Here is a 26,610-nt window from a genome sequence, read left to right as displayed (position 1 = left end):
TGTGTATATTTATATATATATTCTACATATATTTATATGTATTTATATATATTCTATATATATATTCTATATATATATTCTACATATATATTCTACATATATATTCTAGATATATATTCTATATATGTATTCTATATATATTCTATATATATATTCTATATATCTATTCTATATATATATTCTATATATGTATTCTATATATATATTTCTATATATTCTATATGTTTCTATATTCTATATATATTCTTTATATATATTCTATATATATTCTATGTATATATTCTATATATATTCTATATATATTCTATATATTCTATATATATTCTATATGTATATTCTATATATATTCTATATATTCTATATATATTATCTATATTCTATATATATTCTATATATTATCTGTATTCTATATATATCTTCTATATATATTCTATATAGATATAACCTCTATACATATTCTATGTAGATATATCCTCTATACATATTCTATATAGATATATCCTCTATATATATTCTATATAGCTATATCCTCTATATATATTCTACATAGATATATCCTCTATATATATTTATGTAGATATATCCTCTATATATTATGTATATATATCTTCTATATATGTATGTATATATATTCTCTATATATGTATTCATATATATTCTCTATATATGTATTTATATATATTCTACATATGTATTTATATATATTCTATGTATTTATATATATTCTATGTATGTATTTATATGTATTCTATGTATAAGTATTTATATATGTATTCTATGTATATGTATTTATATATGCATTCTATGTAGATATTTATATATATATTATGTATATATTCATATATTATTTATATATTCTCTATATATTATATATATTCTCTAAATATTTATATATATATTCTCTCCATATATTTATATATATATTCTCTCTATATATATTCTCTCTATATATTTATATATATTCTCTATATATATTTATATATATTCTCTCTATATATTTATATATATATTCTCTCTATATATTTATATATATTCTGTCTATACATTTATATATATTCTCTCTATATATTTATATATTTTCTCTCTATATATTTATATATTCTCCATATATATTTATATATTCTCTATATATATTTATATATTCTCTATATATTTATATTTATTCTCTATATATATTTATATATATTCTCTATATATATTTATATATATTCTCTCTATACATATTTATATATATTATCTCTCTATATATTTATATATATATTCTCTCTATATATATTTATATATATATTCTCTCTATATATATTTTTATATATATTCTCTCTATATATATGTATTCTCTCTATATATATTTATATATATATTCTCTGTATATATATTTGTATGTTATCTCTCCATATATTTGTATTTATATCTCTCTCTATATATTTATATATATTCTCTCCATATATATTTATACATATATTCTATATATATATATTCTGTCTATATATATTTAGATATATATTCTCTATATATATTTGTATATATTCTCTGTATATATTTATAAATATTCTCTGTATATATTTTTATATATATCTATGTATATATTTATATATATTCTGTGAGTATATTTATATATATATTCTGTGTGTATATTTATATATATTCTGTATGTATATTTATATATATTCTGTACATGTATTTATATATATTCTGTATATATATTTATATATATATTCTGTATATATATATTTATATATATATTCTGTATATATTTATATATATTCTCTATATATATTTATACTTATATTCTATATATATATTCTACATATATTGTATATATATTCTATATATTTTTGTATATATTCTATATATTTGTATGTATATTCTATATATTTATATATATTCTTTATATTTGTATATATATTCTATATATTTGTATATATTCTATATATTTGTATATATATTTTATATATTTTCTATATATTTATATATTCTATATATATACTATATATATTCTATATATATACTATATATATTCTATATATATACTATATATATTCTATATATATACTATATATTCTATATATATACTATATATTCTATATATATTCTATATATTCTATATATATTCTATATATATACTATATATATTCATGTATATATTTATATATACTCTATATATATATTCTATGTACATATTCATATATATATTCTATGTACATATTCATATGTATATTCTATGTACATATTCATATGTATATTCTGTGTACATATTCATATGTATATTCTATATATATTTATAGATATGTTCTATATATATTTATAGATATATTCTATATATATATTTATAGATATATTCTATATATATATTTATAGATATATTCTATATATATATTTGTATGTATTCTATATATATTTATATATATATTCTATATATATATTCATATATTCTATATATATATCTATATATTCTATATATATATTTTTATATATTCTATATATATTTATATATATTCTATATATATTTATATATATTCTATATATATTTTTATATATTCTACATATATATTCTATATATATTTTTATATATATTCTATATATATATTTTTATATATATTCTATACATATTTTTATATATATTCTATATATATATTTCTATATATATGTTTATATATTTCTATATATATATTCTATATATATAAATATATATATTCTATATATATAAATATATATATTCTATATATATAAATATATATATTCTATATATATAAATATATATATTCTATATATATTTATATATCTATATATGTATATTCGATATATATTCATATATATAGAATATATATTTATATATATCGAATATATATATATTTATACATATTCTATATATATTCATATATATTCTATATATATTCGTATATATTCTATATATATTTGTATATATATTCTATATATATATTTTTGTATATATTCTATATATATTTATATATACATTCTATATATATGATCCCAGGTCCTCTTGTCTTTTTAATCTCCCTAGGTTATCTCATCCAGATATATGACTTTAAATATCATCTAAAAGCTGGCCCTAAACTCCAGTTTCATGAATCCAAATTACTACTCCACATCTCCACTTGGATGTCTAATAGACACCTCAAATTCAGCATGTTCACAATAGAACTTTGAATTGTCAAGCCCCTCCCCAAACCTGATCGTTTTCTCAGTATCCCCCCTTTCAGAAATTGATACCACATCAAACCTTTTATTGAAGCCAGAAAGCTGGGTATCGTCTATGATTCTAACTTTTTTCCATCACCTTTGTTTATTTGACCTCAAAATATATCTGTATTTGTCAATGTATCTCCATCTCCGCTGCCACCTAGGCTCTTATTTGGCTCACTGTCAAGAGCCTCAAAGCTTTTTTCCCGTTTCCAAAATTTACCTTTCTCTGATACAAATACAACACAACAACAAGAGCAATCTTTTTAAGAAGGAAAAATGGTATCGTGTCCCTCCCTTCTTCAGTAATTTCCCACAGAATTTAAAATAAAAATCCTAACTACCTACCCTGGTCTACAAGGTCCTGCCTACGTCATGAACCTCACTTCATAAACTGCATTTTGCATTCCCTGCTCTCCAACCATAATAGTCTTCTTTCAAATATTTGAATTTACCAAACTCTCTGTACCTGGTATTTTTGTACAAGATGTTCCCGCAGCCTGGAACATTCTTCCCTCTATTTTTGAAATTGCAAGTTTTTTCTCAAGGATCAAGTCTCAGCTTAAACGTCCCCTCTTCAGAGAGGCCTTCCCTGCCCATGTTATTTAAAGGAGGATTCTTCTCCCACTCCATTATACTCAGTCCCTTAACTTTTTAAGGAGTAATACTGCAATTTGTAATTTTTAATTTCTCAAGAATGCAAGGTTCATAAAACGTAGGACCATACATGTTGTGCTCTATCTCCAGTGATAAGCATTAACAAAAGCTCATGTTTATAAATTATTTACTATATGTTTGAAACTGTTCTAACATTCACAAAAATCCTGTAAGGTATTAATATCCCCATTTGCAGATGAGGATCCTGAGACATGGAAAAGTTTAATAACTTTCCCAAGATCACACAGCTAATAAGTGATCAGACTGGAATTTAAACACAAGTAGTCTGATTCCAGAGGACAAACATAACCACCACTCCATATCTGCCTCCTTGATAGATAACTGAAAAATATTTGTTCACTAAGTAAATGAGCATCTTCTTGTAAAGGTCATCATTGTAGACAAGTATCCCACTGGGATGCACATAAAGGAAATGTAGCAATAACACAAGTCACCGTAAGTCTTTAGTCATGAGAGGAAAAGGTCTATCCACCAAAACAACAGCAACACAAAAATCACAAAAGAAGCAGTTTCATTTCTCCTATTTTTTCCTAGCTTTTCACATCAACAACAACAAAAACTTATTGAGTAAAAGTTGTGATTTTTCCAAAAATGTTTAAACGTATTTTTCCCTTAGCTGGCATACCTCCAGTTGACTTAAACTTTTCTTTGGGTACCATCCAGAGAGGACACTGAGGAAAGAGAAGACAGCCCTTTGACTCCACAATTTGTCAATATTTCACTCGTCCCAGGTATACAACATTCTCATAAACTCTCCTTTCTCCTCCCTATACCTCTGTATTAAAGTGTAATAGAAAAGATCTATTATAATCTACCTTACTTTTACATGAAAGTATATTACAGGTGGATCCAAGATTTGAATTTAAAATGGAACCATGAAAATACCAGACAAACTATAAAAGAATATTTTTATAATTTTGCAGAAGGAAAAAAAACTTTCAAAACAAGATGATAAATTGTTAGTAGCTAAAAATTTTAAAATTTATATTTGGCACAACAAACAGCAAAGCAAGGTTAAAAAAAACCTAACAACAAACTGGCAAATGAAAAAAAAGACAATACCAATGACAAAAGAATACTTTCCAAAATGTAGAACAAGCTCTCTAGATTCCTCCTCTCTGGACAGGGCATCTCTGAAAGAAAGGCAGCAGCCCCAGTCATGGGCTTATAGATAAAACTCCCATCTCCCTGGGACAGAGCACCTGAGGGAAATGGCAGCTGTGGGCACAGCTTCAGCAGACTTAAACGTTCCTGCCTGCTGGCTCTGAAGTGAGCAGAAGATCTCCCAGCACAGTGCTCGAGCTCTGATAAGGGACAAACTGCCTCCTCAAATGGGTCCCTGACCCCCTTCCCCCCTGACTGGGAGACACCTCCCAGCAGGGGTTGACAGACACCTCATACAGGAGAGCTCTGGCTGGCATCTGGTCGGTGCCCCTCTGGGACGAAGCTTTCAGAGGAAGAAACAGGCAGCAATCTTTGCTTTTCTGCAGCCTCTGCTGGTGATATCCAAGCAAACAGGGTCTGGAGTGGAACTCCAGCAAACTCCAGCAGACCTGCAGCAGAAGGGCCTGACTGTTAGAAGGAAAACTAACAAACAGAAAGGAATAGTGTCAACATCAACAAAAAGGATGTCCACACAGAAACCCCATCCGAAGGTCACCAACATCAAAAACCAAAGGTAGATAAATCCACGAAGATGAGGAAAAACCAGTGCAAAAAGGCTGAAAATTCCAAAAACCAGAATGCCTCTTCTCCTCCAAAGGATCACAGCTCCTCGCCAGCAAGGGAACAAACTGGACAGAGAATGAGTTTGATGATTTGACAGAAGTAGGCTTCAGAAGGTGGGTAATAACAAACTCCTCCGAGCTAAAGGAGCATGTTCTAACCCAATGCAAGGAAGCTAAGAACCTTGATAAAAAGTTACAGGAACTGCTAACTAGAATAACCAGTTTAGAGAAGAACATAAATGACCTGATGGAGCTGAAAAACACAGCATGAGAACTTCGTGAAGCATGCACAAGTATCAGTAGCCAAATCAATCAAGCGGAATAAAGGATATCAGAGATTGAAGATCAACTTAATGAAATAAAGTGTGAAGACAAGATTAGAAAAAAAAGAAAAGGAACGAACAAAGCCTCTAAGAAATATGGGACTATGTGAAAAGATGAAACCTACGTTTGATTCGTGTACCTGAAAGTGACAGGGAGAATGGAACCAAGATGGAAAACACTCTTCAGGATATTATTCAAGAGAACTTCCCCAACCTAGCAAGACAGGCCAACATTAAAATGCAGGAAATACAGAGAACACCACAAAGATACTCCTTGAGAAGAGCAACCCCAAGACACATAATCATCAGATTTGCCAAGGTTGAAATGAAGGAAAAAATGTTAAGGGCAGCCAGAGAAAGGTCGGGTTACCCACAAAGAGAAGCCCATCAGACTAACAGCGGATCTCTCTGCAGAAACCCTATAGGCCAGAAGAGAGTGAGGGCCAATATTCAACATTCTTGAAGAAAATAATTTTCAACCCAGAATTTCATATCCAGCCAAACTAAGCTTCATAAGCAAAGGAGAAATAAAATCCTTTACAGACAAGCAAATGCTGAGAGATTTTTGTCACCACCAGGCCTGCCTTACAAGAGCTCCTGAAGGAAGCACTAAATATGGAAAGAAAAAACCAGTACCAGCCACTGCAAAAATATACCAAATTGTAAAGAACATCAACACTATGAAGAAACCACATCAACTAGCAGGCAAAATAACCAGCTAGGATCATAATGACAGGATCAAATTCACACATAAAAATATTAACCTTAAATGTAAACGGGCTAAATGCCCCAATTAAAAGACACAGATTGGCAAAGTGGATAAAGAGTCAAGACCCATCGGTGTGCTGTATTCAGGAAACCCATCACATGTGCAGAGACACACATAGGCTCAAAATAAAGGGATGGAGGAATATTTACCAAGCAAATTAAAAGCAAAAAAAGCAGGGGTTGCAAACCTAGTCTCTAAAACAGACTTTAAACCAACAAAGATCAAAAAAAAACAAAGAAGGGCATTACATAATGGTAAAGGGATCAGTGCAACAACCAGAGCTAACTATCCTAAATATATAAGCATCTAATACAGGAGCACCCAGATTCATAAAGCAAGTTCTTAGAAACCTACAGAGACTTAGACTCCCACACAATAATAGTGGGAGACTTTAACACCCCACTGTCAATATTAGGCAAATCAACGAGAGAGAAAATTAACAAGGATATTCAGGACTTGAACTCAGCTCTGGACCAAGTGGACCTAATAGACATCTACAGAACTCTCTACCCCAAATCAACAGAATATACATTCTTCTCAGCACCACATTGCACTTATTCTAAAATTGACCACATAATTGGAAGTAAAACACTCCTCAGCAAATGCAAAAGAACGGAAATCATAACAGTCCGTCAGACCACAGTGCAATCAAATTAGTACTCAAGATTAAGAAACTCACTCAAAACCACACAAGTACATGGAAACTGAACACCCTGCTCCTGAATGACTACTGGGTAAATAACAAAATTAAGGCAGAAATAAGTAAGTTCTTTGAAACCAATGAGAACAAAGACACAACATACCAGAATCTCTGGGACACAGCTAAAGCAGTGTTTAGAGGGAAATTTATAGCACTAAATGCCCACAGGAGAAAGCAGGAAAGATCTAAAATCAACACCCTAACATCACAATGAAAAGAACTAGAGAAGCGAGAGCAAACAAATTCAAAAGCTAGCAGAAGACAAGAAATAACTAAGATCAGAGCAGAACTGAAGGAGACAGACACATGAAAAACCCTTCAAAAAATCGAAGAATACAGGAGCTGGTTTTTTGAAAAGATTAACAAAATAGATAAACTGTTAGCCAGACTAATAAAGAAGAAAAGAGAGAAGAACCAAACAGACACAATAAAAAACAATAAAGGGGATATCACCACTGATCCCACAGAAGTACAAACTACCATCAGAGAATACTATAAACACCTCTATGCAAATAAACTAGAAAATCTAGAAGAAAGGGATACATTCCTGGACACGTACACCCTCCCAAGACTAAACAAGGAAGAAATCGAATCCCTGAATAGACCAACAACAAGTCCTGAAATTGAGGCAGTAACTAATAGACTACCAACCAAAAAAAGCCCAGGACCAGACGGATTCACAACCGCATTCTACCAGAGGTGCAAACAGGAGCTGGTACCATTCCTTCTGAAACTATTCCAAACAATAGAAAAAGAGGTACTCCTCCATAACTCATCTTATGAGTTCAGCATCATCCTGATAACAAAACCTGGCAGAGACAGAACAAGAAAAGAAAATTTCAGGCCAATATCCCTGACGAACATTGATGCAAAAATCCTCAATAAAATACTGGCAAACCAAATGCAGCAGCACATCAAAAAGCTTATCCACCACGATCAAGTTGGCTTCATCCCTGGGATGCAAGGATGGTTCACGTCAACATACGCAAATCAATAAACGTAATCCATCACATAAACAGAACCAATGACAAAAATCACATGATTATCTCAATAGATGCAGAAAAGGTCTTCGATAAAATTCAACACATCTTCATGCTAAAAACTCTCAATAAACTAAGTACTGATGGAATGTATCTCAAAATAATAAGAGCTATTTATGACAAACCCACAGCCAATATCATACTGAATGGGCAAAAGCTGGAAACATTCCCTTTGAAAACCGGCACAAGACAAGGATGCCCTCTCTCACCACTCCTATTCAGCATAGTATTGGAAGTTCTGGCCAGGGCAATCAGGCAAGAGAAAGAAATAAAGTGTATTCAAATAGGAAGAGAGGAAATCAAATTGTCTCTGTTTGCAGATGACATGACTGTATCTTTAGAAAACCCCATCGTCTCAGCCCAAAATCTCCTTAAGCTGATAAGCAACTTCAGCAAAGTCTCAGGATACAAAATCAATGTGCAAAAATCACAAGCATTCCTATCCACCAATAAGAGACAGAGAGCCAAATCATGAGTGAGCTCCCATTCACAATTGCTACAAAGAGAATAAAATTCCTAGGAATACAACTTACAAGGGATTTGAAGGACCTCTTCACGGAGAACTACAAACCACTGCTTAAGGAAAAAAGAGAGGACACAAACAAACGGAAAAACATTCCATGCTCATGGATAGGAAGAATCAATATCATAAAAATGGCCACACTGCCCAAAGTAATTTATAGATTCAATGCTATCCTCATCAAGTTACCATTGACTTTCTTCACAGAATTAGAAAAAACTACTTTAAATTTCATATGAAAACAAAAAAGAGCCCGGATAGCCAAGACAATCCTAAGCAAAAAGAACAAAGCTGGAGGCATCATGCTACCTGACTTCAAACTATACTACAAGGCTACAGTAACCAAAACAACATGGTACTGGTACCAAAACAGATATATAGACCAATAAAACAGAACAGAGGCCTCAGAAATAATGCCACACATCTACAACCATCTGATCTTTGACAAACTTGACAAAAACAAGCAATGGGGAACGGATTCCCCATTTAATAAATGGTGTTGGGAAAGCTGGCTAGCCATATGCAGAAAACTGAAACTGGACCCCTTCCTTATGCCTTATACAAAAATTAACTGAAGATGGATTAAAGACTTAAACGTAAGACCTAAAACCATAAAAACCCCCGAAGAAAACCTAGGCAATACCATTCAGGACATAGGCATGGGCAAAGACTTCATGACTAAAACACCAAAAGCAATGGCAACAAAAGCCAAAATTGACAAATTGGATCTAATTAAACTAAAGAGCTTCTGCACAGCAAAATAAACTACCATAAGAGTGAAAAGGCAACCTACAGAATGGGAGAAAATTTTTGCAATCTATCCATCTGACAAAGGGCTAATATCCAGAATCTACAAAGAATTTAAACAAATTTACAAGAAAAAAACAAACAACCCCATCAAAAAATGAGCAAAGGATATGAACAGACACTTCTCAAAAGAAGACATTTATATGGCCAACATATGAAAAAAAGCTCATCATCACTGGTCACCAGAGAAATACAAATCAAAACCGCAATGAGATACCATCTCATGCCAGTTGGAATGGCGATCATTAAAAAGTCAGGAAACAGATGCTGCAGAGGATGTGGTGAAATAGGAACACTTTTACACTTGGGAGTGTAAATTAGTTCAACCATTGTGGAAGACAGTGTGGCAATTCCTCAAGGACCTAGAATGAGAAATACCATTTGATTCAGCAATCCCATCACTGGGTATATGCCCAAAGGATTATAAATCACTCTACTATAAAGACACATGCACATGTATGTTTATTGCAGCACTATTCACAATAGCAAAGACTTGGAACCAACCCAAATGCCCATCAGTGATATACTGGATAAAGAAAATGTGGCACATATACACCATGGAATACTATACAGCCATAAAAAAGGATGAGTTCATGTCCTTTGCAGGGACATGGATGAAGCTGGAAACCATCATTCTAGGCAAACTAACACAGGAACAGCAAACCAAACACCACATGTTCTCACTCATAACTGGGAGTTGAAAAATGAGAACACATGGACACAGTGAGGGGAACATCACACACCCGGGCCAGTCAGGGGGTGGGGGCCTAGGGGAGGAATAGCATTAGGAGAAATACCTAATGTAGATGATGGGTTGATGGATGCAGCAAACCACCATGGCACATGTATACCGATGTAACAAGCCTGCACCATCTGCACATGTATCCTAGAACTTAAAGTATAAGAAAAAATGTACGAGAACTCTATGATCAATAAAATAGATGAACTTCCCATCAAAAAATTGGCAAGAAAATGAACAATTAGAAAAGAAATACAAATGACCACTAACCATGAAAATATGTTCAATTTCACTAAAAATAAATGCAGATTAAAACAACAATAGATTATTTTTGTTTAGGACACTGGCAAAGGTTTAATATATTGATAATAACTTCTGTTGATGGGGGAGTGGGTAAACAGTCATTTGTATTCACTGTCGATGCAAATAAAAACTGCCATAAACTTTGGGAGGGTTATTTGAAAATATCTGTTGGATTTCAAATGTTTGAACCCTTTTACCCAGAGATTCTACTTCTATTAATCTTTACTACAAAAATGCTTAGTTTCAGAAATAAGACCGAAAATTTCCCAAATCTGGGAGAGATATAAATCTAGACTGAAGATGCTAAGCAAATCGTAAACAGGATAAACCCAAAGTAATTAACATAATAAACACATCATAAAACTTCTGAAACTTAACAACACAGAAAAAAACTTTGAAGGCAGCAAGAGGGTAATGAAATATTTCTAATAGAAGTAAAAATTTCTGAATAACAGTAGATTTCTCATCAGAAACTGTGCAGCCCAGAAGAAGATGACACAATATTTTCCAAAAACTAAAAGAAAACAGCTCTAAACTCAGAATTCAATATCCAGGGAAAATATCCTTCAACAGTGAAGGGAAAAATGGCCGGGTGCGGTGGCTCATGCCTGTAATCCCAGCACTTTGGGAGGCCAAGGTGGGCAGATCACGAGGTCAGGAGATGGAGACCATCCTGGCTAACACGGTGAAACCCCGTCTCTACTAAAAATACAAAAAATTAGCCGGACGTGGTGGCGGACGCCTGTAGTCCCAGCTACTCAGGAGGCTAAGGCAGGAGAATGGCGCGAACTGGGAGGCGGAGGTTGCAGTGAGCCGAGATTGTGCCACTGCCCTCCAGCCTGGGCCACAGAGCAAGACTCCGTCTCAAAAAAAAAAAAAAAAAAAAAAAACAAGAGTGAAGGGAAACTCAAGACATTCTCAGATGAAGGAAAATTAAGAGAATTTGTTGCCAGTAAATCTACCCCAATAGAATAGAAAATTTACAAATTAAAAAAAAAGGTACAAAAGAAGGAATCTTAAAACATCAGGAAGAAAGAACAATAGAAAGAGCAAAGTATGGGTCAATTCAACAGACTTTCCTTCTGATCCTGAGTTTTCTCAAATATGTTTGACAGTTATGGCAAAAATTAGAACATGGTCTGATGTGGTTCTCAATGTAGGTACAGGAAATGTTAAAAACAGTAATATCAAAAAATAAAGGAGGATAAAGAGATGTAAAGGAAGGAAACGTTTCTATACCTCTCTCAAACTGCGAAATGATAACTCCAGAAGAATCTGAAAATACACACACACACACACACACAGAGTAATACCCAGAGCAACCACTGTGAAAGCCATGTGAAGAGAGACACTCAAAACCACTATAGATGCATCCAAATGGAATTATAGTGAATGTTCATGTAACTGACTGGAAGGCAGAAAGAAAAAGAAAATATAAAAATGAAAACTAGAAGGAATAACCAGAAAACAAAAAATAAAAATGGCAAACTTAAGATATGACAGATCAATAATCATATTAAATGTAAATAAATTAAGTAAAACAATTAAAAGACAGATATTGGCAAAGTGAATTTTAAAAAGCACACCCCAGGCCGGACACAGTGGCTCATGCCTGTAATCCCAGCATTTTAGGAGGCCGAGGCGAGCGGATCAGGAGGTCAGGAGATCAAGACCATCCTGGCTAACATGGTGAAACCCTGTCTCTACTAAAAATACAAAAAATTAGCTGGGTGTGGTGGCCCGACCCTGTAGTCCCAGCTACTTGGGAGGCCGAGGCACAAGAATTGCTTGAACCTGGGAGGCAGAGGTTGCACTGAGCTGAGATTGCGCCACTGCACTCCAGCCTGGGCAACAGAGTGAGACTCTGTCTCACACACACACACACACAAACACACACACACACAAGGCCTGGCGCGGTGGCTCACACCTGTAATCCCAGCACTTTAGGAGGCTGAGGCGGATGGATCACAAGGTCAGGAATTCGAGACCAGCCTGACCAACATCAACATGGTGAAACCCCGTTTCTACTAAAAATACAAAAATTAGCCAGGCGTGGTGGTGTGCACCTGTATTCCCAGCTACTCAGGAGGCTGAGGCAGGAGAATCACTTGAACCCGGGAGGTGGAGGTTGCAGTGAGCCGAGACCGCACCATTGCACTCCAGCCTGGGTGACAGAGGGAGACTCTGTCTCAAAAAAAAAAAAAAAAAAAAAAAAAGAAGCACACCCCAATGACATGCTGTCAACAAGAAAACCCCCTTCAAATACAATGATATAAGCAGGTGGAAATTAAAAAGTGGGAAAAGATATATCATGCATACATTAATTTTAAACAAACAAAAGTGGCTATATTAATATCAGTTAAAGTAATATCAGAGCAAAGTAAATTAACAGGGTCAGAGAGAAACATTACATAATAATAAAAGAGTCAATCGACCAAGAAGATACAGAAATCTCAAACGTGTATGTACCAACCATCAGATCTGCAAAATACACGAAGCAAAGACTGACAGAATTGAAAGGAAAAATAGACAAATCCACATTTACAGTTGGAGACTTCAACATCCCTCTCTCAATAATTGATTTTTAAAAATCAGCTAGATAAAAAATCAGCAAGGGTATAGAGGAATTCAACAACAACAGCAACAAACAGAATCTAATTGACATTTATAGAACACGATCCCCCCGCAAAAAAAAAAAAAATACACATTCATTTCAAGTGCCCATGGAACTTTCACCAAAATAGATGATGCCCTCAATTGTAAAACAAATCTCAGCAAATAAAATAAGAATTGAACTCATAACACAGTATGTTCTCTGACCACAATGGGATCAAACTAGAAATCAGTGACAAGAATAACAGAACAACAGGGCCAGGCGTGGTGGCTCATGCCTGTAATCCTAGCACTTTGGGAGGCCGAGGCGGGTGGATCACGAGGTCAGGAGATCCAGACCATCCTGGCTAACACAGTGTAACGCTGTCTCTACTAAAAATACAAAAAATTAGCCGGGCGTGGTGGCAGGCGCCTGTAGTCCCAGCTACTCGGGAGGCTGAGGCAAGAGAATGGCATGAACCCGGGAGGCGGAGCTTGCAGTGAGCCGAGATCGTGCCACTTCCCTCCAGCCCGGGCGACAGAGCAAGACTGCATCTCAAAATAAATAAATAAATAATAACAGAACAATCTCCAAACACTTGGAAACGAAACGACATACCTCATGGATCAAAGATGAAGGTTTAATCAAAATAAAAAAAAAACACTGAACTGAATGAAAACGAAAATACAACACATCAAAATTTGTGGGCCAGGTGTGGTGGCTCACACCTGTAATACCAGCAATTTGAGAGGCAAACATGGGGACAATAACCTGAGGCCAGGAGTTCAAGACCACCCTGAGCAACGTAGGGACATTCTGTCTCTATTTAAAATAGATATATTCATTTTTAAATTTATATATAATAAGTGTACATATTATATACATAAATATATTGTATTATATATTATATTTCATTATATATTTTATTATACATAAAATACAATATTATATACTATTTAATAAAATATATATTGTACATATATAGGGAGAGAGACAGATGATATATATAGAATAGATGATACCATATATACATATATACGTGGGTCACAGCTAAAATATATATATATATATATATATATATATATATATGGGCCACAGCTAAAACTGAAAGGTAAATTTATAACACTATTTAATATTAGAAAAGAGGAAAAGCTTAAAAGTCAATACTCTAAGCACCCACCTCAATACTAGAAAAAGAAGAGAAAAATAAATCCAATGCAAGCATAACTTAGGAAAAAATAATGATAAAAGCAGAAATCAGTGAAATTAAAAACAGAAAAACCAATAGTAAAAATCAATTAAATGAAGTCTGGTTCTTTGAAAAGATTAAAAACCTGGCAAACCTCTACCAAGATTGACAAAGAAAAAGAAGACACAAATTAGCAATATCAGAAATGACATAGATTAATAAATTTTACAGATCTGCTGTACAACAGAGTGCCTGTAGTTAACAGCATTGGGCACTTCAAAATTTGTTAAGAGGGTAGATATCATGTTAAGTGTTCTTGCCAAGAAAACACCCAACAACAACAAAGGAACACAAGGAAACTTTGGCTGGTGTTGGATGTGTCTACTACCTTGATTATGGTAATGGAATAATGAGTGTTTATATATGAACAAGTTCGTCAAATTATACACATTAAATATATGCAGTTCTTTGTATTAATATATCAATTATACCTCAATAAAAGTTTTTTTAAAAGAAATAAAACAGGGGATTATGCTACAGACCCTACTGACATAAAAAGGATAAAGGAATACTTTAAACAACACTACACACATAAATTTGACAACTTAAAAGAAATGGATGAATTCCTTCGAAAGCACACTGCTATAACACACCCAATAGGAAATACATCATTTGAATAGTCCCAGTTTTAAATAAATTAAATTATTAATTTTTAAATTTCCCAAAAGAAAAATCTCCAGGCCCAGATGATTTCACTGGATAATTAAACAAAATATTTAAAGAACAATTAATACCAATTCTACATATGTCTCTTCCATAAAATAGAAAAGGGAACAATTCTCAACTTCTTATATGAGAACACTTTTACAGTGATGCCAAAACCATCCAAAGATAATACAAAATAAGAAAACTCCATGGCCAATATCCCTCATGAATATAGAAACAAAATTCTTAACAAGATATTAGCAAACAAATTTGAGCAACATATTAAAAGTATTATTTAATATATACCATGACCAAGTGGGATTTATCCCAGGGATGCAAGGCTAGTTTGAAAAATCAATCCATGTAATCCAACATAGACATTGTCTTATACACTGAGAACTACAAAACATCATTAAGAGAAAGACCTAAATAAATGGAAAGATGTCCCGTGTTCATTGATCAGCTTACTTAATATTGTTAAGATAGCAATAATGCCCAGATTGATCTACAGAATCAAGACAATCCCTATCAAAATCTGTGTGGAACAGAGATAACATATCAGCCCTAAGAATATTGTCATTTGAAAATCCTGCTTACAAAGGTTGGCCTTTGGCTAGCATCTGGGAAGTTGGATTTGGAGAGGATTACCACAACACCAATTGATAAGATGAGCTCACTTTGCCTTATGGCTTATGGTGAACACAAGATTTCCTCCTAGAAATCTGAAATTTTGGTATGTGTTAGGCAGAAGGTGCCTGTATGACCAGTCCTCAATAAAAACCCTTGCCACTAATTCTCCAATGAGCTGCCCTCACAGACAACATTTCACACATGTTGTCACAGCTTGTTGCTGGAAAATGTTATGTTGAGAAGCCAGTCACAAAAGACCACATATTGTATGATTCAATTTATATTGAATATCCAGAATAGGCAAATATATAGAGACAGAAAGTAGATTAGTGGTTGCCTAAAGCTGGGATGTATAGGGGTGGAGGGGTGGCTGGGGTGTGATAGATAAAGGGTATAAGGTTTCTTCTGGGGATGATTAAAAAAGCTCTAAATTGATCATGGTGATGGTTGTCCAACTCTGTGACACAGGATACTAAAAAAAATTGAGTTGTACACTTTAAATGACAAGTTACATGGTATATAAATTATATTTCAACAAAGCTGTTATAAAAAATAACATAGTAGCTAATAAAGTATATCAATTCCTAAAAACTGTTACATTGAAGAGTGGCAAGGATAGATTCAATGAAACCAGTTAGTCAGTTACTACAATAATCCAGGTAGTTTGGATCAGCAGGATTCAACGTCCTTGGCCTTGACTAAGCACCTTTTTATGGTCTCATGCTAGCAATTCTTCAAGAACCATTACCACTTATTTTCAATTATGTAAATATCGTTAAGGATTTACTAGTATATATGAACCTGTGCTATCCTTAGCAGGGTAAGTGAAAATGGGCAAAACGCAGTCATTCTCTTCAAGAAGTCCTGTTTTTGGAAAGATAAAGCTCATAATGAAACAAATACACCACAAGGCAGAATGTGATGTGTGAATTATAAATTCACTAGGTGAATGTAAAACTGTTGAGAATTTCAGAAGACACATATGATTGAGTTCACTCTTATTATCAACACCATCACTATTGTCATAATCATCTCAACATCACCAGAAGTTACTGAGTGTGTAAACACATGAGCCACTGCTAGGTTGTACACACAAGTTACTGCCTTCCTTGAACCCATACACATCTTCATGATGGAAATATTAAGGAAATGTATCAATAAATACGACATACACAAAAATGCAGTTTTTAGGATGGGGAGTGATTCTGTCAAAGAGAAATCACCAATTTCCCTTTTAATTGGATGAATGCCTTCTCAAGACGGCTTTTATATGGGGTGTTCTCTTACTGCATAGGAACACGTTTTCCAACAGCTGCGATCTCCTAGTGGCCACATGAAGTCATTACCCCGATTCATCATCCTGACTTGAGAGCAAGACGCAAAGGAGGCTGGAGTGCAGTTGGTGAGATCACTCCTCATTGCAGCATCAACCTCCTGGGCTCAAGCGATCCTCCCACCTCAGGCTCCTGAGTAACCGGTACTACAGGAGGGTGCCACAACACCAGGCTAATATTTTGTTTGTTTGTTTGTTTGGTAGAGACCGAGGTTTTGCTATGTTACCCAGGCTGGTCTCAAACTCAAACTCCTGTCCTCAAGCAATCCTCCTGCCTCAGCCTCCCAAAGTGCTGGGATTACAAGTGTGAGCCACCGCACCCGGCTGTAATGTTTAAAACATGCATTCACTGATATACTATGTGCAGGGCAGGATAAAGATTTTTTCACGAAATAATACTATAGTGAAGGTTTTTGTGTTTTGTTTTGTTTTGTTTTTTTCTTTTGAGACAGAGTCTTGCTCTGTCAGCCAGGCTGGAGTGCAGTGGCGTGATCTAGGCTCACTGTAGATTTTGCCTCTGGGTTTCAAGCGATTCTCCTGCTTCAGCCTCCAGAGTAGCTGGGATTACAGGTGACCGCCACCATGCCCGGCTAATTTTTGTATTTTTAGTAGAGACAGGGTATTGCCATATTGGCCAGGCTGGTCTTGAATTCCTGAGCTCAAAGCAATCCACCTGCCTTGGCCTCCCAAAGTGCTGCAATTACAGGTGTGAGCCACTGCACCAGGCCTCAAGTACTTTTTTAAAGGTTATTTTGTCAGATGTTCCAGACAAGTTTGTTGGTTTGACAGGGAGGAAAAAAAATCTGATTAAAGGCTAAGTTTCCTCAGCCAGTTTTCCACCCACATCTCCAGCGTGACTCGTTATATTTCTATATTTATAATATATAATCAATATGTAAGGCAAAAAGCTCTGGTCATAGCTAACAAAACAAAATCTTTATCATTCCCTGCAGACAGTATATCAGTGAATGAATGTTTTAAACATTACAGCCAGAATTTAAACACAAGCAGTCTGATTCCAGAGAACAAACATGACCAGTACCCCATATCTGCCTCCTTGATAGATAACTGAAAAAAATCTGTTCGCTAAGTAAATGAATATATTCTCGTAAAGGTCATCATTGTAGACAAGTAACCCATTGGGATGCACATAAAGGACACATAGCATTAACACAAGTCACCCTAAGTTTTTAGTCATGAGAGGAAAAGGTCTATCCACCAAAACCACAGCAATACAAAAATCACAAAGCAAGCAATTTCGTTCTATTTTTTTCTAGCTTTTCACATCAACAACAACAAAAAAAATTATTGAGTAAAAGTTGTGATTTTTCCAAAATTTTTTAAACATATTTTTCCCTTAGCTGGCATACCTCCAGTTGACTTAAACTTTTCTTTGGGTACCATCCTGAGAAGATACTGAGAAAAGAGAAGACAGCCCTTTGACTCCACAATTTGTCAATATTCCCCTCCTCCCAGGTATACAACATTCTCATAAACTCTCCTTTCTTCTCCTCCCTATACCTCTGTATTAAAGCCTAATAGAGAAGGTCTGTTATTATCTACCTTACTTTTACATGAAAATAGATTACAGATGGATCCAAGATTTGAATGTAAAAATGAAACCATGAAAATACCAGACAAGCTACAAAAGAATATTTCCATAATCTTGCAAAAGGAAGAAAAACTTTCAAAACAGGATGAGAAATTTTTTAGTAGCTAAAAATTTTTAAATTTCTGTTTGGCAAATGTCAATACTCTAAGCACCCACCTCAATACTAGAAAAAGAAGAGAAAAGTAAATCCAATGCAAGCATAAGGTAGGGAATAATAATGATAAAAGCAGAAATCAATGAAATTAAAAACAGAAAAACCAAGAGTAAAAATCAATGAAATAAAGTCAGGTTCTCTGAAAAGATCAAAAGCCTAACAAACCTCTAGCAAGATTGACAAAGAAAAAGAAGACACAAATTAGCAATATCAGAAATGACATAGATGAATAAATTTTAGAGATCTGCTGTACAACCCAGTGCCTATAGTTAACAATATAGTATTGGGCCAGGCGCAGTGGCTCATGCCTGTAATCCCGACACTTTGGGAGACCAAGGCGGGTGGATCACTTGAGGTCAGGAGTTTAAGACCAGCCTGGCCAACATGGTGAAACCCCATCGCTACTAAAAATACAAAAATTAGCCAGGCGTAGTGGCGGGTACCTATAATCTCAGCTACTCAGGAGGCTGAGGCAGGAGAATCTCTTGAACCCAGGAGGCAGAGGTTGCAGTGAGCTGAGATCGCGCCACTGCACCCCAGTCTGGGTGACAGAGTGAGATACCATCTCAAACAAACAAACAAACAAACAAAAAACAATCCAGTATTGGGCACTACAAAATTTGTTAAGAGGGTCGATATCATGTTAAGTGTTCTTAACAAAAATACACCCAACAACAAGGGGACACAAGGAAACTTTGGGAGGTGTTGGATGTGACTGCTACCTTGATTATGGTAATGGAATCATGGGTGTTTACATATGAAGAAGCTTGTCAAACTGTACACGTTAAATATATGCAGCTCTTTGTATTAATATATCAATGATACCTCAATGAAAGGTTTTTTAAAAGAAATAAAACAAGGGATTCCACTACAGACCCTACTGACATAAAAAGGATAGGGGAATACAATGAACGACTCTACACACATAAAGTTGACAACTTAAAGAAATGGATGAATTCCTTGGAAAGCACAAACTGCCACAACACACCCAATAGGAAATATATCATTTGAATAGTCCCAGTTTTAAATAAATTCAATTATTAATTTTAAAATTCCCCAAAAGAGTAATCTCCGGGCCCAGATGATTTCACTGGAGAATTAAACAAAATATTTAAAGAACAACACCAATTCTACATCTGTCACTTCCAGAAAATAGAAAAGGGAGCACTTCCCAACATATTATATGAGAACACTTTTACTGTGATGCCAAAACCATCCAAAGATAATACAAAATAGGAAAACTACAGAACAATATCCCTCGTGAATATAGAAACAAAATTCTTAGCAAGATATTAGCAAACAAATTTGAGCAACATATTAAAAGTATTATTTAACATATACCATGACCAAGTGGGATATCTCCCAGGGATGCAAGGCTAGTTTGAAAAATCAACCCATGTAATCCAACATCGATATTGTCTTGTACACTGAGAACTACAAAACATCATTAAGAGAAAGACCTAAATAAATGGAAAGATGTTCCGTGTTCATTGATCAGCTTACTTAATATTAAGATGGCAATACTGCCCAGATTGATCTACAGAATCAACACAATCCATATCAAAATCTGTGTGGTTCAGGGTTAACATATCAGACCTAAGAATATTGTCATTTGAAAATCCTGCTTACAAAGGTTGGCCCTTGGCTAGTATCTGGAAACTTGGATTTGGGGAGGGTTCCCACAACACTAATTGATAATATGAGCTCACTTTGCCTTATGGTTTATGGTGAACACCAGATTTCCTCCTAGAAATCTGAAATTTCGGTATGTGCTAGGCAGGAGGTGCCTGTATCACCAGCCCCCAATAAAAACCCTTGCCACTGATTCTCCAATGAGCTTCCCTCACAGACATTTCACACATGTTGCTACAGCTCATTGCTGGAAAAAGTTTTGCTACGAAGCCAGTCACCAAAGACCACATATTGTATTATTCCATTTATACTGAATGTCTGGAATAGGCAAACCTATAGAGACAGAAAGTAGATTAGTGGTTGCCTAAAGCTGGGAGATATAGGGGTGGAGGGGTGGCTGGAGTGTGATGGACAAAGGGTATAGGGTTTCTTCTGGGGGTGATTAAAAAAGCTCTAAATTGATTATGGTAATGGTTGTACAACTCTGTGACACAATATACTAAAAAAATTGAGTTGTACACTTTAAATGAGTGAGTTACATGGTATATGAATCATATTTCAACAAAGCTATTATAAAAAATAACAGAGTAGCTAATAAAGTATATCAGTTCCTAAAAACTGTTACATTGAAGAGTGGCAAGGATAGATTCAGTGGAATCAGTTAGCCAGTTATTACAATAATCCAGGCAGTTTGGATCAGGATGACCCAATGTTTTTGGCCTTGACCAAGCACTTCTATGTGGTCCTGGGGCTAGCAATTCTTGAAGAACCATTACCACTTATTTTCAATTATGTAAATATCATTAGGCATTTGCTAATATATATGAACCTGTGCTACCCTTAGCAGGGTAAGTGAAAATGGGCAAAACACAGTCATTCTCTTCAAGAAGTCCTGTTTTTGGAAAGATAAAGCTCATAATGAAACAAATACACCACAAGGCAGAATGTGATATGTGAATTTATAAATTCACTAGGTGAATGTAAAACTGTTGAGAATTTCAGAAGACACAAATGATTGAGTCCACTCTTATAATCAACACCATCACTATTGTCATAATCATCTCAACATCACCAAGAGTTACTGAGTGTCTAAGCACATGAGCCACTGCTAGGTTGTACACAGAGACAGTTACTGCCTTCCTTGAACCTATACATATCTTCATAATGGAAATATTAAGGAAATGTATCAATAAATACGACATACACAAAAATGCAGTTTTTAGGATGGGGAGTGATTCTGTCAAGAGAAATCACCAATTTCCCTTTTAATTGGAGGAACACCTTCTCAAGACGGCTTTTTTACGGGGTGTTCTCCTACTGCATGGGAATACGTTTTCCAACAGCTGCGACCTCCTAGTGACCACATGAAGTCATTACCCCGATTCATCATCCTGACTTGAGAGCAAGAGGCACAGGAGGCTGGAGTGCAGTTGGCGAGATCACTCCTCATTACAGCATCAACCTCCCATGCTCAAGCGATCCTCCCACCTCAGCCTCCGGAGTAACTGGGACTACAGGCACGCGCCACCACACCCAGCTAATTTTTTTTTTCTTTTGGTAGAAATGGAGGTTTTGCTCTGTTGCCCAGGCTGGTCTCAAACTCAGACTCTTGCCTTCAAGCAATACTCCCACCTCAGCCTCTCAAAGTGCTGGAATTACAAGAGTGAGCCACCGTGCCCAGCTGTCATAAAGTAATACTATATTTCATTTTTATTATTTTTTCTTTTGAGACAGTCTTGCTCTGTCGTCCTGGCTGGAGTGCAGTGGCATGATCTCGGCTCACTGCAACCTCCCACTCCCAGGCTCAAGTGATCCTCCCACCTCAGCCTCCCGAGTAACTGGGACTACAGGCGGGCACCACAACACACTGCTAATTTTATTTTATTTCATTTATTTTTTGGTAGAGACGGAAGTTTTGCTATGTTGCCCAGGCTGGTCTCAAAGTCCTGCCCTCAAGCTTTCTTCCCGCCTCAGCCTCCGAAGGTGCTGGTATTACAGGAGTGAGCCGCAGCGCCCAGCTGTTACCAAGTAATAGTATATTTTATTTATTTATTTATTTATTTATTTTGAGATGGAATCTCGCTCTGTCGCCAGGCTGGAGTGCAGTGGCGCCATCCCGGCTCACTGCAACCTCTGTCTCCCGGGCTCAAGTGATTTTCCTGCCTCAGCCTCCCAAGTAGCTATAGACGCATGCCACCATGTCCCGCTAGTTTTTGCATTTTTAGTAGAGACGGGGTTTCACCTTGTTGGCCAGGATGGTCTCGATCTTTTGATCTCGTGATCCGCCTGCCTCAGCCTCCCAAAGTGCTGGCACTACAGGCGTGAGCTACCGTGCCCAGCTATTTAATTTTTTTTTCTTTTGAGACAAGAGTCTCACTCTGTCGTTCAGGCTGGAGTGCAGTGGCACGATCTCGTCTCACTACAACCTCTGCCTCCTGGACTCAAGTGATTCTCCTGCCTTAGCCTCCCAAGTAGCTACAGACGCATGCCACCATGCCCAGCTAATTTTTGTATTGTTAATAGAGACGGGGTTTCACCATGTTGGCCAGGATGGTCTCGATCTCTTGACCTCGTGATCCGCCTGCCTCAGCCTCCCAAAGTGCTGGGATTACAGGCGTGAGCCACTGCGCCTGGCTATTTAATTCTTTTTCTTTTGAGACAAGAGTCTTACTCTGTCGCCCAGGCTGGAGTGCAGTGGCGCCATCTTGGCTCACTGCAACCTTTGCCTCCCAGTTCAAGCCATCCTCCTGCCGCAGCCACTGCACCCAGCTGTAATGTTTAATACATTCATTCACTGATACACTATCTGCAGGGCAGGATAAACATTTTGTCACCAAGTAACTGTATATTTAAGTTTTTTTTTTCTTTTGAGACAGAGTCTTGCTCTGTCACCCAGGATGGAGTGCAGTGGCACCATCTTGGCTCACTGCAACTCTGCCTCCCAGTTTCAAGCGATTCTTCCGCCTCAGCCTCCCGAGTAGCTGGGACTACAGGCGCGCGCTACCACGCCCGGCTAATTTTTGTCTTTTTAGTAGAGACGGGGTTTCGCCATGGTGGTCAAGCTGGTCTCGAATTCCTGAGCTCAGGTGATCTGCCCGCCCCGGCCTCCCAAAGTGCTGGGATTACAGGCGTGAGCCACCACGGTCAGCCTGAAGTACTTTTTAAAGGTTATTTTTTCAGATGTTCCAGAAAAGTTTGTTGGTTTGACAGGGAGGAAATAAACTAATTAAAGGCTAGTTCCCTCAGCCAGTTTTCCTCCCACATCTCCAGCCTGACACAGGATATACTTCTATATTTATAATATATAATCAATATATAAGGCAAAAAGCTCTCGTCACGACTGACAATACATGTTGTACCTTTAACAAGCCACAAATGGACTGGAAGAAAAGCTATTAGCAGAATGTTCTCCACCTATCGGAAACTGAAAGAAAACAATACAAAAATAAACCAATCAAAATGTAGATGAGGAACAGAGAGAGAGAGAGAGAGAGGCGACCAACCGCCTCAGCCCAACTGTCTCAGAATGACGGAAATGCTTCCACAGAAATGCACCTCAGAACAACTGGTACGAGAGGCGGCCGGATTGACCCCACCATTCTCACCAGCAGGGGGAGATCACGAATCAGCGCTTTTTTTTTTTTTTTTTTTAGTCAGACTTAAAACCACCAGATGGGGCCAGAAGATCAGAGTAAATACCTTTCTACTTTTCTTTTTCTCAGGGAATTTCTCTTCTATCTCCAGACCCTGAAAGAAATAAAAGGCATGCTAATCACCACACACACACACGCGCGCGCCCCGCCACCCCCACCCCCAAGACGATGGAAGTGGCCAGTGCTGCCAAGCACCCCCACCAGTCACGTGGCCTCTGCGCTCCAGCGAGTCATTTATAATTAAAGTGGTAGGCATTTCATAAGGCTGTGCGTGAATTGAGATAATGCATGTAATACACAGTACCAGGCAAATTCTCAGTCCCCACTCCAGACCCGTAGAATGAGAAACTGAAGCCCTCCAGGTGATTCTGATGCACGCCAAAGTGTGACAATTACTGCTCTGGGAAAGAAGCCTGCCCACTCAGATAGCTAACCAAGTTTTTTGGTCATTTTTACAGATCCCATGACGCTGTGATTTCTGAATTATGTTTTCTGCCCTAAAAATTCCAAAACCTTGTGTCTTGAGCCCACCTGTGTGCCCAGTATTGTGGTGGATGCAATGAAAAAGAGATAGATAACCTTCTAGGCTTGCAATGTAGGTAATCTAGGAATAGGAAAAGGTAATTAACTCTACAAGGCCAGATTTAGTAAATGTCAGATGAATTATCCTGACAATAAGCAAATGTTCTAGGAAATCAGGGGAAGGAAATTTCATAATTATAAAAGGGAAGAGCCTGACCAGAAATAGCCACTGCCAAGCCAAGCCCACCCCTCAAAATTAGCCATAAGTCATTTTCTACCGCAAGGTTATGGAACAGAACTTTAGCTGCCTAATTAAGCCCCTGCCTATAAAAGAACCCCTAACATTCCTAAGACTCCACTTATCTTTAGCAGTTGCCCCCTGAAATTTTTTTATGATAATGTTTATAGACTTTAAAAGTCCTTTATTTTCCCCCTCCACTCCTCCAATCACTCATAGGAAAGAAAAAATATGTACAATGCAGACAAAACACAAACACTTGACAGAAGTAATTATACAGTTCCACTGCCAAGATGTTCAAAATGACTAATTTTTCACTTTAGTATGGTTGCATGAAGCTGCTCTAAATGTCATTGTGTACTCTCATGGCAGGAAAACCAAATCAGGAGAAAAAGAAGTGGTGTTCCCAATTATATTGGTCCACAGTAAATGATGTCTGATAATCATTGGCATCACTGCCCATTTTCTAAATGGTCATTGTGTCATCACATAAAAGGTAGGCTAAATCTGAGGCTGGAAGACACCCAGCAAGACTACCAGACAGACAGTGATTTCATGAAGGCTGATGGTTCACTTCATTTAATTTCCTTTTGCCATTATTCATGATAATTATATTATAAACGCAGGTCCCATTTTTATTATCTTCATAGTTTTTTCTAGCCAAATGCAAACCGAGAGTGTATTTAAAGTATTGATTTGCACTCTTATTCACAAGTTTGTGTGAAAGAGAAGAAGTTTGGGTAGAATAAACAAGGTTACAAAATAGATGATGGTGCTTAGAAAAAAAATGATGACCAAGGCTTTTGTGTTTAATATCTCAATATTTGGCTATTAAAGGCAAACCTAAGTGCAGACTATTCACACACCTTCACACACTAATACAATATATTCCTTACTTTGACTATTTGAATATCCCTTATCCCTCACCTGCCCTCCACCCCCTCTACTCAGTACAGACCAATTTGAGAGCCTCGAGAAGAGAAGGAAGAGGCAGTAAATGTACCGTGACCTATGACTGAGCCAGGTCTGCCTTGATTCTTCCCTTACATTTTGCTCATTGGTTTCACATCCAAATGCTGCCCTTACCTGCTCCTGGTTAGCCTCCAGGATGACAGGATTCAGGTGCCCTGGGAGAGTGCTCTAATCATCCATAGTAGTTCTCTCTTTGTCATCTGGGGATTACTAAGACATTTTCCAGGCATGAATCATGGTTGTTCCTTTCCGGGCTGGGAGACACAGAGTTTTTGTTTTTGTTTTTGTTTTGTTTTATTTTTAATCTCTTAGAGATATGATTTCTTGTGCTTGGAGAATAGGTAAACATTTTCTTCCTTTGCTTCATATTCCACAGAGATGAGCCAGACACAGGAGCTCCAACTTTGTCTTTAATCATCAAAAGTTGCCCCTTGACAAAAGGATGGTATAGGAAAAGCAACAAAGACCCTCTTCATGATCAAACTTTAGTCAGGCTTCTCTAAGCCCACTTCTCAGCTAGGCCTCAACTTTGGCCTATAAGAACTGCAACTTTCGGCACAATTTCATCCA

At 36.2% G+C, this 26,610-nt stretch overlaps 1 protein-coding gene across 9 annotated transcripts in view; it reads right to left on the bottom strand.

Moving 5' to 3' along the window:
• Positions 1-26,252, bottom strand: part of CCNB3 (cyclin B3) — a 149,202-nt gene extending 122,950 nt beyond the window's left edge. For 5 of the 9 annotated variants that reach the window (XM_017029913.1, XM_017029917.1, XM_017029916.1 and 2 more), the window contains exon 1: positions 24,015-24,200. The gene's annotated coding sequence lies outside the window, so the exon portion shown is untranslated. Of the gene's footprint in view, positions 1-24,014; positions 24,201-24,354; positions 24,494-26,154 lie in introns of those variants that run through there. The other 4 variants (XM_017029915.1, XM_047442599.1, XM_047442600.1 and 1 more) reach the window with 4 other exon arrangements.

Source organism: Homo sapiens, chromosome X, assembly GCF_000001405.40.
Source record: "Homo sapiens chromosome X, GRCh38.p14 Primary Assembly".
Taxonomy (NCBI): Eukaryota; Metazoa; Chordata; class Mammalia; order Primates; family Hominidae; genus Homo; species Homo sapiens.
This window is presented reverse-complemented; position numbering and strand designations above follow the sequence as displayed.